The 15,634-nt window shown below is 37.4% G+C and overlaps 1 protein-coding gene across 2 annotated transcripts in view, besides 2 other annotated features; it reads right to left on the bottom strand.

Moving 5' to 3' along the window:
• Nucleotides 1-15,634, bottom strand: part of CERS6 (ceramide synthase 6) — a 318,863-nt gene that overhangs the window by 215,558 nt on the left and 87,671 nt on the right. For both annotated transcript variants that reach the window (NM_001256126.2, NM_203463.3), the window contains exon 2: nt 11,876-11,981. In NM_001256126.2, coding sequence (NP_001243055.1) covers nt 11,876-11,981 — 106 coding nt within the window. The remainder of the gene's footprint in view (nt 1-11,875; nt 11,982-15,634) is intronic.
• Nucleotides 8,261-8,831: an enhancer, noted in NCBI's record as "H3K27ac-H3K4me1 hESC enhancer chr2:169407256-169407826 (GRCh37/hg19 assembly coordinates)". NCBI's record gives its function as "activates a minimal SCP1, AML or CMV promoter by ChIP-STARR-seq in naive H9 embryonic stem cells {active_cell/tissue: H9 hESC(naive)}" and the evidence as "EXISTENCE:reporter gene assay evidence [ECO:0000049][PMID:30033119]".
• Nucleotides 8,832-9,403: an enhancer, noted in NCBI's record as "H3K27ac-H3K4me1 hESC enhancer chr2:169406684-169407255 (GRCh37/hg19 assembly coordinates)". NCBI's record gives its function as "activates a minimal SCP1, AML or CMV promoter by ChIP-STARR-seq in naive H9 embryonic stem cells {active_cell/tissue: H9 hESC(naive)}" and the evidence as "EXISTENCE:reporter gene assay evidence [ECO:0000049][PMID:30033119]".

The following is a 15,634-nucleotide window of genomic DNA, read 5'->3' as shown; positions in this document are numbered from 1 at the left end:
TCGGATTAGATTAGAAGTTATTAGAAGAGACACTAGAGAGCTTGCCCATGCTTGCATGCTCTCTGTCTCTCTCAGTCTGTTCCATGTGAGGTTACAAGAGAAGATGGCCATGTGCCAACCAGGAAGAGGACCTTCACCAAGAGGTCAGCCACATCTGCATGCTGATCTCAGACTTCCAGCATCCAGAACTGTGAGAAATAAATATTTGTTGTTTAAGCCACCCAGTTGATAGTATTCTGTTACAGCAGTCAGAACTGACTAGAACAGACACACACCCAGAAAACACAGCAAATCACTGTAGGGTACAAAATGTACTGACCTTGTGCCTATAAACGTTATTTGCCAACTTTGGGGTTTTTTGGGGTTTTTTTTTTAGTAGTAGTAATGACACCATCTACACTCACCTTTGATGTCTCTCTTAATCAAAAATACGGGAAGGAGAAAAATCATTGCCTACAATATACCTTGGCTACACCATTATCCTAATGGAATTCATTTTTAATTTCAATTTATTTTCTTAGTTTATTAATAAAGAAAAAATTCATATGGTGCAAAAATTTAAAATTATCCAAAGTTTCACCTTCCAACTTTGTTCTGGCTCTTTCAATCCCTATTCTCCCCTTCTTGTCAGATAACCACAGTTATTATTAAATCAGTTTCTTATCAGATAACCATAGTTATTATTAAATCAGTTTCTTTTTTGTGTGTGTGACAGAGTCTTGCTCTGTCGCCCAGGCTGGAGTGCAGTGGTGCAATCTCTGCTCACTGCAAGCTCCACCTCCTGGGTTCACACCATTCTCCTGCCTCAGCATCCAGAGTAGCTGGGACTACAGGCGCCAGCCACCACACCCTGCTAATTTTTTGTATTTTTAGTAGAGACGGGGTTTCACTGTGTTAGCCAGGATGGTCTCGATCTCCTGACCTTGTGATCCACCCGCCTTGGCCTCCCAAAGTGCTGGGATTACAGGCGTGAGCCACCGCGCCCAGCCTAAATCAGTTTCTTTCCAGTATTTACACAAATATAAGCAAACTTGAATATATATTATTATATCACCCCTTGTCACAAAAATAGTTGCATACTACAGACATTTGTCCGGGCTTTGGGTTTTTTACCTTACAATGTATATTGCAATATTTCCTTTTCACTATATATAGAACACCCTTATTCTTTTGTAGAGCTGTAAAGATATACCATAATTTACTTATCCATTCTGCTATTAATGGACATTTTGCAGCTTCTGAGCTTGTTCTATAAACAATGCTACAATAAATAACCTTACCTGGGCCATTTTATACATGTTTCTCTCTAAGTTCCTGAAAGTGAAAGTTGTAGATCGAAGGGGTCTATGCATTTGTAATATAATTTTGAAATTGAAAAGTTATTCTTACTAGTGATTTTACCAATTTATACTCACAAGCAAGAGCGCCCATTTTCCAAAGCCTCTTCAACAGACTATGATATCAGACGTTTCCATTTTTTCCAGTCTAATACATAAAACAGGATCTCAGTTTCAATTTCCTTTTTATGAGAGAAGCATTTTATCATGTGTTTCAAAAATCAACTGTATTTCCATTTTTTTATGAAGAGTATATTCATATCTACTGCCTATTTTTTCATGATTCCTTGGTATTCTCCTTGTTGATTTGTAAGGCATCTTCATATGTTAGGGTGATTAAACCCTTCTCTGTACCAAAAGCTGCATACTTTTTTCCAGCATGTCATTTGCATTTTAGAATTTGCTTATGATGTTTTTTGCTTGTTTTACTTCCAGAAATTTGATAAAAATATATTTGAATTTATCAATCTTTTCTGTTATAGTTTCTACATTTGAAGTCATAATTAGCAAAGCCTCCCTCATTCCCAATGTTCAAAAGATTCTCCCAGGTTTCCTTTTAATAAATGTAGGGTTTTGATTTTTATATTCAAATCTTTAGTACATTTGGAATACATATTGGTATTGAGTAGGAGGAATGAATCTAACTTTATTTGTTTCCAGATGGCTACTCATATACCATTCATCTTTTCCATCAAAAATCCAAATCTTTTCTTCCATTGGTCTATTTATTAATGCGCCAGTACCAGTACTATACAGCTAGTTTTCTCAGAAATCTTTATACTTTTTCTAAATGAATTTCAGAATTAGCTTATCTATTTTCAAAATAAACAAATGGTCACACAAGGAACCCTGTTAGTATTTTCAAGAAGATCATACTATTTCATTAAGATCATAACATAGGGTGAATTAACATCTTTATTTAATTTGTCTTTTGTGTCCTTCAAGAGTGCTTGAAAACTTTCCTCATCCAGGTCTTGCACATACCTTGCTATGTTTATTCCTAGCTATATTATTCTTTTAGGTTTCTACTGAGAATAAGGTACTTTCTTAATCTTTTATTATTTATTTTATTTTTTGAGATAGGGTCTAACTCTCTTGCCCAGGCTGGGTACAGTGGCGCCATCACGGCTCACTGCAGCCAGGATCTCTCCATGCTCAGGTGATCCTCCCACCTTAGCCTTCCAGGTAGCTGGAACTACAGGTGTGCAACAACATGCCTTTTTTTTTTTTTTTTTTTTTTTTTTTTTTGTAGAGACAAGGTTTCACCATGTTGCCTGGGCTGGTCTCAAACTCCTGGACTCAAGCGGTCTTCCCACCTCAGCCTCCTAAAGTGCTGAGATTACAGGTGTGAAGCACCATGCCCAGCCTCTTAGATCTTTTAATGCTTATTGTTTGCTTTTATATATGTAAACTATTGGTTTCTGGTTATTAACTTTGTACTAAAATTTTATATCTGTGGTAGTTTTTCACAAGATTCCCTTCATTTTTCAGGTACATAATAATATAATAGCATATTACTGAAATGTAGGCTCCACAAACAAAATAAATTTTTAGTATTCTTTTTCACTGATTCCTAGATTATAGCAAGACTCAATAAATACTTCTTTATGAAGTATGAATAATTCTTCACAATAGCAATAGTTTTGTCACCTACTTTCCAATTTTTATGACTTTATTTTCTTTCTCTTGCTAGTTCAATGTAAAATTTGGCACAATACAGAAATATAGATATAGAAAGTAAGGGGCAAGTTTTGGGACTATGATACAAATACATCTGTCATGTAGCAGAAACCACCTATCCCCACTTAGACAATTTATTTTAATCAAAAAGATGTCAGGTTTCAGCATCCATGGAGTGTGATGTATTTTTCTCGTTAGATCTACTAATAAAATGAATTATATAGATTTTTATATCCAATTATAAACAATTCTTTTAATGTGTTACTAGGTTCAGTTCACTAATTTTTTATTTAGGATTTCTTTATCAATATTAACAACAAAATTTGGTCTCTAGTCTTGCTTTTGTTTTTTATTGAAATTTTTGTCAGGCATTGATGTTAATGTCTTATTGTTACATTAAAAGAGAGCTGGATGGGTTTCTTAATTTTCTATGCTTTGATACAGTTTAAGAGAATTATCTCCTGTTAAGAGTATGTTAGAATTTTTTATGAGATGACATATTGATTTGCTTGACTATAGTAACCATGTCACCATGTGTAAATATACTGAAACATTGTATTGTACATCTTAAATATTCACAATAAACAAGGAGAGAAAGCACATATAATTTTTGATATTATAGGTATGAATTTAGGCCTTCATACCTTTAAAATGCTAATCACCTGGGCAAAGAAAAAAATATATACCTACATGTTCAATAAACACTTTGGGTTAATGAAAAACAAAATCTTTTGTGAGAGCATCTGAGCCTGGTACTTTTTTGCAGTTTAGTTCTTTTAATTTGATCTTTACATACACACACACACACACACACACACACACACACACACACACACAGAGTCAATTATACTTTCCTAGAATAAATTTTTTAGTCAAGTTTTTCTATTACATCTGCCCCACTCTCTTAATTTTCCTGTTTCTGTGGTTATTGATCATAACGTTTATTTGTGCTTGCTTTTTTTTTCTTAGTCGATTTAGCTGCCTTTGGTAAAACAAAAATAAATAAATGTAGGATTTGGGGATTAATTTTTTTATATAAGTTAAAATTATAGTTATAGTTTTGCTAACTCATTGATTTTAGCTTATCGTTACTACTTTCTTCCTTCTGCTTATCTCCATTCATTTTGTTGTTCTTGTTCTAATGTTTAACCAAATGGCTATTTTTTTCATATCTGTATGAGTTTTCAATGAGCACTTTTGCAGCATAGCACATAAAGGTAGTACTTTCATTACCAATGTTTTCTAAATATTCTGAAATTTCAATTTTACCCAAGAGTTAATAAGACAGTATTTATAAATTTTCAGGAGGAAGAGGTTTTGTTTTCTGATTTTTCTGTTTTCTAATTTCTGGTATTAAATCGTGCCTAATTTTTAAAAATTATAGTTTTTTAACATAATACAGCATCAATTTTTGTAAGTATTTAATAGCTACTTGAAAAGAAAGTACAGTCTCTACATTCAGAATATAGGATTATAAATGTACCCCCTTAGATCTTCCTAATTATGCTCCTTAGAATTTCTATATTCTATTTTATATTTTCTCACTGACTCTATCACGCCTCAGAGGTAAATCAGAATTTCTTTCTATTGTGTTTCCATTTTTTCTTCAATTCCTTTTTATGAATATACAGACACACTAATATTTAATACATATATGATTCATAACTATTTTATCTTCATCATGAATTGTATCCTCTGACAATAAAAAGTCAATTCTTCCTTTCATTTAATGCTTTTAGAAATCCTACTTTGTTATTTATACGTGCCTGTATACCTTCACCTATGCTCTTATTTTCAACATTTATTACTACTTTGTCTTAAGGTGCTCCTCACATACTTTTTTCATGACTGCATTGTTTTTCTATGGCTGCTGTAACAAAGTTCCCTGAACAACAGAAGTGTATAGTCTCATGGTTCTGGAGGCTGTTAAGTCCCAGATGAAGGTGTTGAATGGTTTGCTCCTTCTGAAGGATGTGAGGTAAAAATCTGTACCAGGCCTCTCTCCTTGGCTTGCAGATGGCTGTCTTTTCCCTGTGTTTCTTCACAGCATCTTCCCTCATGCCTATCTCTGTGTCCAATTGTCCCGTTTGTATATGGACACCCGGCATATTGGATTAGGACCCACCATAATAATCCCATTTTGACTAATTTACCTTTGTAAAGATCCTATCTCCAAATAAGGTTACATTCTGAGGTACTAGGGATCAAGACTTCAATGTATACATTTTGGGGAAGAAAATAATTCGACCCATACCAATAACCAAAGCCTGAATTAGTTTTTATTAGATGAATTAAGTCCATTTATGTGTATTAATATGATTATAAGTTTATTCTTTCTAATTATGTTCTACTTTCCATTTTGATGATTTTAAAAAACATTTCACTACATTTTTTTTTTCCTTTTGGGAGTAATTTTTGTTCTAGTGGTTATCCATATGACTCTTTCTTTTCCATCTCTAATAATTCAAATGAGCAATATTTAAAGTAGCCTTATTTCCTCCACCTTATTAAAGTAGCCTTATTTCCTTCTCCTCCACCACCCAATACTACAATAGTCAATAATATTATCTTTCTTAGCATTTACTCTGGTACTATTAAATATGCGTATACTTGTAATGATTTGCCAGCTTTCACTGATATGCTTTGACTCCCCTCTTAGAGATCATGCAATCAGTGAACTGATTCTGCCTCCCACCTTCTTCCCCTTCTACTCAGTTATTGCTGTATCATTTCTACACTGTGAGAACCTAGAACATTAACATTCTGTCTGTCACCATTCCTTAGATTTCTTTCTTAGTACTACAGTTTAAATATATTCAAAACTTACAAACATTCCAAGTGATCTCTTGGTCAGCTAAAATTAATGATTTAATAGAGTCTCCTCAAGAAAGACTCATGGAATAATATCCCTAAATTTTTTCATGTTCAAAGATGTCTAACATGATGTCTATAACCTTTACAGAGTAAAAACAATTTGGCTAGATATAAAATTCTTAGTTCACATTTTCCTTGGGAATATTGAAAATGTTATTATAGAAAGGCCTACAATCACATAACATTTTCCCTAAAAAAAGAGATCTGATTTTTTGCCCAGCTGCTCAGTGAAGTATTTCTTTACTTATCAAGTCCAGCAACTTTAACAATGTTAAGTTTTAGTGTTGAACTTTCTGGGCCCATTTTCACTATATTTTTATTAACATATTAAAATAAACCTCCATTTATCTTAGGAAAAAATCTTGAATTATATCTCAGAAGTTGTTTTAATTCATTGTTTTATTTTGCTTTTCCTTAAGGGATTCCTATTACAGAGATGCTGGATCTGCTTGGCCTATATATCCATTTTGTAGCTCTTTTTGGTTTCTTTCATTTAATTCAGTTTTATTCTTTCTATCTTCCATATTCTTTGCTGAGTTTTCTGCAGTGACTAGTGTTTCCTGCCTTCTTCCCAATTTTGTCTTTTTTTCTGTGATGGATTTGGTACTTTTCTCTGAACTCTACCAGCTCACATTCCACCTCCTCTTGTTGACCAACCATTTCTTTCTTTAGTTCTTATATTTCCTCTGTGATCTTCCTTCACAGAGTTACTGCTTCATTTTTTTAAATTTATGGTAAAATATTTAATCACAGTTTTCATTTGCCTCTTTAGCCTCATTATTCTAGTGAAAATTTTGTTAACAGGAGTTGCTATACTTTCTTTTTATTGTCTTTGATATTGTGTGAGTTGCTTCTTTATTAATCATCTTTGAATTAGTTGAATTTTCTTGACCTGCTACTTCCAGTGTGGGGAGCAGGAAGGATGCTCTTCCAGTCTGGCTGCCATGAAGGGAGATGGACTCCTGAAAACATACCCTCCACGTGGCTTTATGTGTCCCTCCTCCACTCTTGCCAGCCTGGCTCACCTGTTCCTGCACCTATTGTTGCAAACAGTGGGTGGTTCTTTTGTCTCCTCAACTCTTGAGAAGTGCTTTTGTGCTGGCTTTCCTGACACCCACCCCCACACGGCCCTCCAGACACACTTCATGCTTTTCACTTCCTCATACTTGGTTTCTGCCCAATCTAGGTAGCCTTTATATGTTTTGAAATCTAGAGATATGCATCTCCTAATTTGCCAAATAAGACATTTGTGAGATTTTCTTTCATTTTTTCTTTCTCTGTGTTTGTGTGTGTAGTGTGTGTGTGTGTGTGTGTGTGTGTGTGTGTGTGTGTGTGTATACTCTGTATGTAGGGTGGGGGTTTCTTATTGTTCTTTCCTTATTATTCTCCGTAAGTTTTTTTGAAAGATTTCCAGGCAAAGAAATGAATAATGGAGACTCACATAAACATTTATATATTACAAACACCTAGGTTAATATTAATAACATTAATCTTAACCAGTACTGGGAGGCAAAGAAGGAAAGTATAAAATAAAAATGAAAGGAAATAGATTATTGAGGAGAATTAGGAAAAACAAATTGTAGGAAATCTGCCTATCACTTTAAAATTTACTCTAACATACCAAAAGTTAATTTTATTATTTCCCTGGATCATAAAACCTGGCTTTATACCTGACATATATTCTCACCCCCATGGCTTAAGCACTGATTTGATTAGAAAAGTGAGGTAGTTAGTATCATAGGTATGTACAAATAATATGGTAGGAGAATCCCCAAAAGTTAAAAGCATATTTACCCAGATAATTCTGAATATAACCAGTTAAGAAACAACATAACCAGTTAAGAAACACGAGCTCAAAAATATTCACTAAAGAGAAATAATCATTCTGTTCATTTGAATGGGTCTGACAATCCGTAATTGTAGAATTTTTGGTCCCATTCCAATACAGTTGAGGAGAATCTATAGAAACATGACGTAACACTCTACATTTTAACTCTCAGGTAATCTTAAATGCAAATCAAAATATGGGAACCAATGAGACAAAAGATGCTATATCATTTACTGAATGATTTACATGATTATTTAACCCTCATGAACGCCTGTGAGATGGTTATTCAAAGATTTTTACAAATGAGCTTCATGATTATTTAACCCTCATGAACGCCTGTGAGACGGTTATTCAAAGATTTTTACATATGAGCTATCTGCAGCCTAGGGACGTTAAGAAACTCACCCAAGGCCACAATGACGGGACGCAGCAGAGCTGAGGTTCCAACACAAATATCCAGGTGTAACTGGCTCAAACACCAAGACTTCTAATTGACATTTACAATAGGAGTAGTTTCTATAAAGTGTTTATAAAATTTTAGACAGGGGATGGGGGAGGAGAGAGAGACAGGCAACAGGAAGACAGGTGTTACTTCAAAAGGAAAGACTGCTACAGAATATATAAGGGTTCAAATTTTTCAGCTATTAATAATTTCACAAAGGAGAACCAGATAGGGCATGTGACCTGTGCTGTCACACAGGGACCCCCATTCAGAAGGGTCCACATTTGGGGTTGGAAACCCTGCAGTCACCATCTTGAAATTCTTAACAGTTTTATCATGGAATTTGTGCTTATTATAATGAAGTCCAATGGGGCAAAGGAGCATGTGCCAGGAGCTTGGATTCTTGGCTCATACACAGTCCCACCACTTCCGCCAAATGTGTGTGTGGTTGCCCAGTTCCTCATCCCCTGGCTTGTAGCACTCACCAGCCTCCCTGTCTCCCCACTTCCTAGTGACTGCTGCTGCCTTCAGCCCCCAGTGGAGGGCCGAGTGCAAACACAGAGAGTGGGGGATCGAGTTTCAGAGAGGATGGAGGCAGCTACCCCAGTGCATGTGGTGGGCGACTCGGTAGGGCTGAGCCTTTTGTGTAGCCCTGAATCTGGGCATAGAGGTTGCAATGCACTTGAAGGTCCTTCATCACCCATGGGTTGGGGCAGTGGGCCTGGAGAGAGGCCTGACTGTATTTCTCTGCTCCCCTGACCAAGGTACAGTGTGTCAGCCAGTGGCTGGAGAAAAGGGAAACCTGGCAGCTGGTGGGTCATGTGCACACTAAGTCACAGGGTGGGGCCCCCAGCTACCTGTGAGGGTCTGCACTTTCTCCAAGAGTCTCCCCATGCCATTAGGGAACATGACATTACACGACAAATAAAAAACACCTTGACCAGGCATGGTGGCTCACAGCTATAATCCCAACACTTTGGGAGGCTGAGGCAGGAGGATTGCTTGAAGCCCGGAGTTCAAGACCAGCCTGGGCAACATAGTGAGGCCCTATCTCTCCAAAAAAATTTTTTACATTAGCCAGGTGTGGTGGCCCACACCTGTAGTTCCAGCTACTTGAGAGGCTGAAGCAAGAGGATCATTTGAGCCCAGGAGTTTGAGGCTGCAGTGTGCTACAGTTATGCCACTAGACTCCAGCCTTGGCAACAGAGTGAGACCTTGTCTCAAAACCAAAAACAACAAACAAAAAAACACCTTGACAAGTAGAGAGAGACTGAGGGAGGAAGGAAAAAGCTTTATGTTTTTGTATGCTTAATGGCACTTTTTTTGTGCTTTTTGAACAAGGGGTCCCACATTTTCATTCTGTACTGGGCCCCACAAACTATGTAGCCAGTCATATACAGAGATTTTAAGGGTACCTCTCTCACACTTGAAGGATTATAATCATGCCCTTCTACAAAAAGGCAGCTCAAACCGTGGTAAGGCCAGGATACTGGATGATCATTCACACACACACACAAACGCACACTTTGTTCAAGCTCTCCCAAGTCCTGCCCCTCCTATTCCAGTCAACTGATTGGTTACATTTCATATCACAATTAAGACCGGAGAACTACAAAGAATACAAGGGAAAACAGTTCCAACTTTTGCTGCATTTATATTTTACATGACGCTTCTGTTTTAATCATGTAAAAACCTCCAAAGGAATCACCTTGGAAACTAAAAGAATATGATCATTCAAATTAGCTAGAAGCAAGTATTTGTTTTTGTTTGTTTGTTTGTTTTGAGACAGAGTCTTGCTCCATTGCCAGGCTGGAGTGCAGTGGCGTGATCTCTGCTCACTGCAACCTCCGCCTCCTGGGTTCAAGCCATTCTCCTGCCTCAGCCTCCCGAGTAGCTGGGACTACAGGCACCCGCCACCACGCCTGGCTAATTTTTGTATTTTTAGTAGAGATGGGGTCTCACCATGTTGGCCAAGGTGGTCTCGATCTCTTGACCTCATGATCTGCCCGCCTCAGCCTCCCAAAGTGCTGGCATTACAGGCGTGAGCCACCACGCCCAGCCAAAGCAAGTATTCTTTAGAAAAGTCAACCTGGCTGCAAAATCTTTTTATTACCTTTATGGAGGAAATTTCTCCAGTAACTGTAAAAAACATAAGGCAAGGGAAGTGAAACATCCACTGCAGGATTTTTAAGGAGAGGCATCAAATGTGGAGAAAACAAAAAACAAAATTAAAAAAAAAACACCTCATTTTATTATTCATTTAGAATACTGTATGTTTAATGTACTTAGAGTAGTTCACAAAGAGACTCCAAATATGTTATAATCACACTTACAAATGAACCTGAGAAGTCCCTACACACCTGCTTTTTTAAGAGGGAAAAAGTTGTTTCACTTAAGTAATTTGATACACTAAATGAAAATGCAAGCTTTTTCTTTACATTTTTTTCTTTTAAATACTGTAAGATATGTGTCCCTTCAGACAGGAACCTGGCAATCTGAAATTACCCCATAAAAACCATCAAAAGAGCTTTTCCTAAAATTCCATTCATTCTTCTCTTCTTCCTAGCAGAGATATGAAAAACACCTGGTACTTTCTTAATTTTTTGAGGGAAAAACATTTTTAAAAGGACAGAGGGAAAAACTCTAGAGAATTTTGGAAGAAATGAAGACCATAAAATAGATAAAAGTGTTTGGATATCTGAATTAATAGTTGTAAGACGAGATAGCTAGTACAAATGGCTAGAAACACAAATACCAAGAAAAGAAATAGAATTTGCTTAATTCTGTCAAATCACATCTTGGAAGCCTGGGTAATTCTCCCAGAAAAATGAAAGGGAGAAAATGAGCCATTTAATATATGAACACACAATACTTCTCATAGAATGTTGTATTTCTCCTGATCTTTTCTTCTTTCTTGTCCAAACAAGAATAAGGTAAGATATATAAAAACTCGGTAATTTGCTCTATTTTCCTATGGCCTTCAACTGAGGGTTTCTGACTTCCAGCTTTCTCCTCCCTCTTTGTTCTGAAGGAGATCTGAACTTGGGATGGGGGCAGAGGCAGGAGACGTGGTCTCTTCTACCCACTTCTCTCCCACTCCCTTCCTCCCACTCCTAGTTTGGGCTTCAGCTCCCACCAGATTGAGTATCTCCTCCCTTTTATTCTCCACAGTGAACCTATCTCTTCACTTAAGACTCTCCTGACCCTCCTTCTTCATAACTTCATGGTACAATCTTTTATCCTGCAGTTATGCCTTCTTGTTGTTTTTGTTTACATTTGTCTACTTATCACAGCTCCTAGAATCTATGGACAATGCTACAAGCCAAGAGGTCCCTTTTTTCGCACACACATAAATCACATTCTTCAGCTCCACCCAGTCACCTCCACAAAGTCCCTCCCAGCCCTCATCTTGCTTCTAGTCACATCTTGCTTCACATGTGATTAAAAGAGGCACAGAATTAGACTAATCATTATTTAGTCAAGACTATTCTCAGGTGAGCTACTAAAAATCAACTTGAGCGTAAACTACCAAGTCTAAGACAAGCCCATCTTCATTCCGCTTCTACTACGCTTGCATTCCTTCTGACAACACGTTCTCCAGCATAAGGCTAGGCAAAAGTTGATTCTCCAAACCCAGAAGGGGACAAATTGAATGACAGCAGGCTGAGAATGGTGACCGGGGACAATCTATACCCCAGGAAAGGACAATCATACCTTTGTAATTGCAGTGAAGACCTTTTCCAGAATGGCATTGGGCGGAGCAATTTGTGGTCCATTGGCCTGAATGTTGAGGGCTATGGCGCACGGTTTGGCTACAAATCTAAAAATTACAAAAAGAAAAAAGTAGAAGGTCAGAATTTATTCTTTCTATGTGATTCTTAATGCCACCAGTTACACATTACTCAATTATCCCAATAAAGTGTTGGTAGGATTTCATGGGTGTACATTGTCAACACTCCTGTCAGTAACTGTAAGGCAGACTTAACCGTTTTTCTCTCTGTTAGCCCCCAGCAGTAACATTAAAAAAGAAATCCTTTTAAAACATTTAAACCCTCCAATCCTCAAGTTCTAATGAGACAAAGCTAGAAAGACTATGAGATGAAAATATAAGTGTATAAGATAGAAATAAAACAATGATTTCAAAATAATATAACTTATACTCTTCTTACACAGAGCAATAGTCATATTTTTACTGTGAGAAAACGTTTACTAAGCATCTAATTATCCATGCAGAGAGAGCGCTTTGACCACCCGTAGTCATAAACTTGGCAATTTTTGTCTCTATAATCAAAGTGTGCTAAATTCAGCCCCAATCCCTCATGGCTTCTTAAAATTCTCTGCTTTGTGGTTATTTGCTTGTTTCTCATAAAGAGTAATGAAGGATGTCGAAGGGCATGATGTCCCAGACAAGATGAAAAGTCGCAAGTGTTTATGAACATCCACAAAACTGTTTTTATCCTAAGCCAATGCCTACGTCAAGAGGAATGGGAGGACTGAGCCTTCTTTCTGGTCGCATTTGCTGTGTGAATGAGGTGCTGAAGGGGAGCAGGTGAAGTGCATGGGGCCCCAAAGGTGTGGGGACATTGCTAATAAAACTGTGTAAAACAAAAAAAATTAAAAGTTGTTTTAGACTAAATGCTCAAGAAATAAAACTCTGTAAATATTCATTTTCAGTAGTAACATTTAATATTTTCTACTAATACAGGATAATTTCATATCATGTGAAAGTATTACCCAAATTAATTCACTGTTGGTCAAAGGCAACAATTGATAAATATGCAAAACAGACCATAATTAAATCTTAGATGAAGCTTCCTTAATAACAGTTGATGAGATTAAAGAACAGTAGACAAAGGTTTTTGTTTTTAAAGTAGGACCAATGAAACTTACATGTAAAGTACCACATAATATCCTACTGGGTCCTATTTCAAGTAAAAGTGAAGAAATTTATTTAAACAGGAAAATGGAACATTGTACACGTGCAAGCCTAAACCAGGAAAGATAAGACAGAGAAAATGCACCGTAATACCTGGTACACTGGGCTCTCTGGGACAAAGTTGGGAAGAAAGAAGAATCACCCCTTCCCGATATATAAATCCTCTAGAAACTGGAGTTTTCCCCAAACTTCTACATTCTCAATTCTGTTTAATGTAAAATTTTCTGAGCTGCATTACCTACATCCCTACCTTCTTGACAGTAAGTATAACCTTTTCCTAACGACTCTGGCCCTTCTCTATAAATGATAATCATGGGGCTATGGCTATAGTGATGAAAGAAGGAATTTAGTGGGCAATGACCACAAGACAGAGTCTAGAACTTGTTTCCTTGACAAGGTTTCCTGCTTTGTGGTTATTTGCCCCTCATCATAAGGTACAACAGAGCGGGGTGAAAAGACATACGGTCCAGCAAAAGCAAACAGTAAGACCACAAAATGCATTTGGTGTGAAGGACACAACTGTTCCAATGGTTTCTTTCTAGTCTTTCCAGTTGGACTCCTCCCCGCCCTCCCTCATCCTCCCCTTCCCACACCTCTGACACATTGTGTTCACATTCCCTTCCGACTTTGTCATCATCATCCTTGTAACAGCCTGCTGTTCCAGTACAGTCTTCTTTCTTCATCTAAATAGCACTGAGTCTCAATGCAGAAGCTGATCATTTCCTCTTTGTATGCCCTGTGACAATGCCTGTGCATACACAGGAGGGGGTCAAGACATTTAATCAACTGGTTGTCTTCAGTAAATATGTTTTGTTGTTGCTATCACGGTGTTGAGTGCTGAGGACAAGTTAGCAGACATTCTCTGTGTGCCCTGTCACAATGCATGGGCAGGCAGTAGGGGAGTCAAGAAATTTACTCAACACTGTCTCTTCAACTTCCTCACCTCTGTTATCAGCCAAAAAAAAAAAAATCAAAAAAAATTTTTAGTATTTGTTATACAACATAATGTATACATCTCTCCTTCTCTTTTTAAGCTTCAAACCACTTTTAAAACTCTATTTTCTTTAAATTCCAAGAATGAATGCAACAGCATACCACTTAATTGACAACTTATCAAATTTCAATAATCAAAATTATCAAATAAATATGATGCTTTGTTAACATATTTTTACAGCAATGTCCAAAGGATAGGGTGGGAATTATTTCTGCTGCTATCTGGCTATGGAGATTTAGCTACAGGAATTAATCTCTCTCTGCCTTAATCTCCTCATATGTGAAAAAATTATTATAATTATATATGTACATGTATGTGTTTCTACAAATACATGTATGTGTTTCTACAAATACATGTGTGTGTTTCTACAAATACATGTATGTGTTTCTACAAATACATGTATGTATTTAAAAATCATATCATAGAGTCTCTTTGCCTAAAATGTTTGACAGGAGCCATGGGTAAGGTTTCATATCATAGCATTTACAAACCATGACTTTCCTGGGCCCAGCGGCTCACCAGCCTCAGCTACACTGAAACAAGCCATGTGTATTCAAGTTGTGAAAGTATTATACCAAGCAGAAGCAGAAAAAAGAGACCAGATGTCAGGATAGGCACTGAAAAAAACCAGGGACATCTGGTCGAGTAACCACTTGCCCCAGTTTACCCTCCATCCAACTGTTCCCAGCACCACGTGCACTGACAAAAGTGTCCCCCGTCTGGTATTTTGCCACAGTTAAAAGGAAAAGCAGAGGGTCCCATGTGGACATAAAATTGTGGTGACTCTCATCCTCAAACCCCAGGCCTGGTGCCGGTCCACAGTGAGTCCATACCAGCAGTGTGATCGGGGTCTAAGCTCATCCACACCTGGCCTTCTCTAAGGGCCCAAACCTTTCCAGCTCCCCTATCCAACCCAATGACCCCCAGAATGCTGTGGCCACACTTCCCACAGAAGAGTTGGTGTAACAGGTGCATCCCTCTCCTGTGTGTGGGGCCCCCAAGAGAGCAGGACCAGGCCTTAACGAAGTCCACATCTCCAGAGCCCTGTGCACAATCTCATTTAATCCTCCCTCAACCAGATGAAGCGGGATTACCATTATCCCCACTTTGCAGAGAGGACCAGAGATGTCAGTGGCCTCTACTTCCAGGGAAATGGAAGCAGAAGACAGTATATTTCTTTCCCAGAAGGGTCATTGTTATAATCAGCTCCCCACTCTGATTCATTGGACAGGCTAAGCCCCAAAATCTGAGGATGCAGAGACAGACAGTGAGAGAGAGAGAGAGAAGAATAACAGACAAACTTAATAGAATTTAACTCAATTTAAATGTTGAAGTCCATTAAAGTTTAAATGACCCATGGTAGGTATGTGCATAAATCATCTTTCTTTGAACGATGTCATAGCATCTTTTCATTTATATGCCTGGCACACTGTGGGTACTCAGTGAGTATTTGATGGTTGAATGAATGAATAAAACCATCAAGTAAAATACAATGGTAGGTACCCTTACTATCTTTTCCAAAGGGGCTTTGCATTTTAATTTC

Source organism: Homo sapiens, chromosome 2, assembly GCF_000001405.40.
Source record: "Homo sapiens chromosome 2, GRCh38.p14 Primary Assembly".
Lineage (NCBI taxonomy): Eukaryota > Metazoa > Chordata > Mammalia > Primates > Hominidae > Homo > Homo sapiens.
This window is presented reverse-complemented; position numbering and strand designations above follow the sequence as displayed.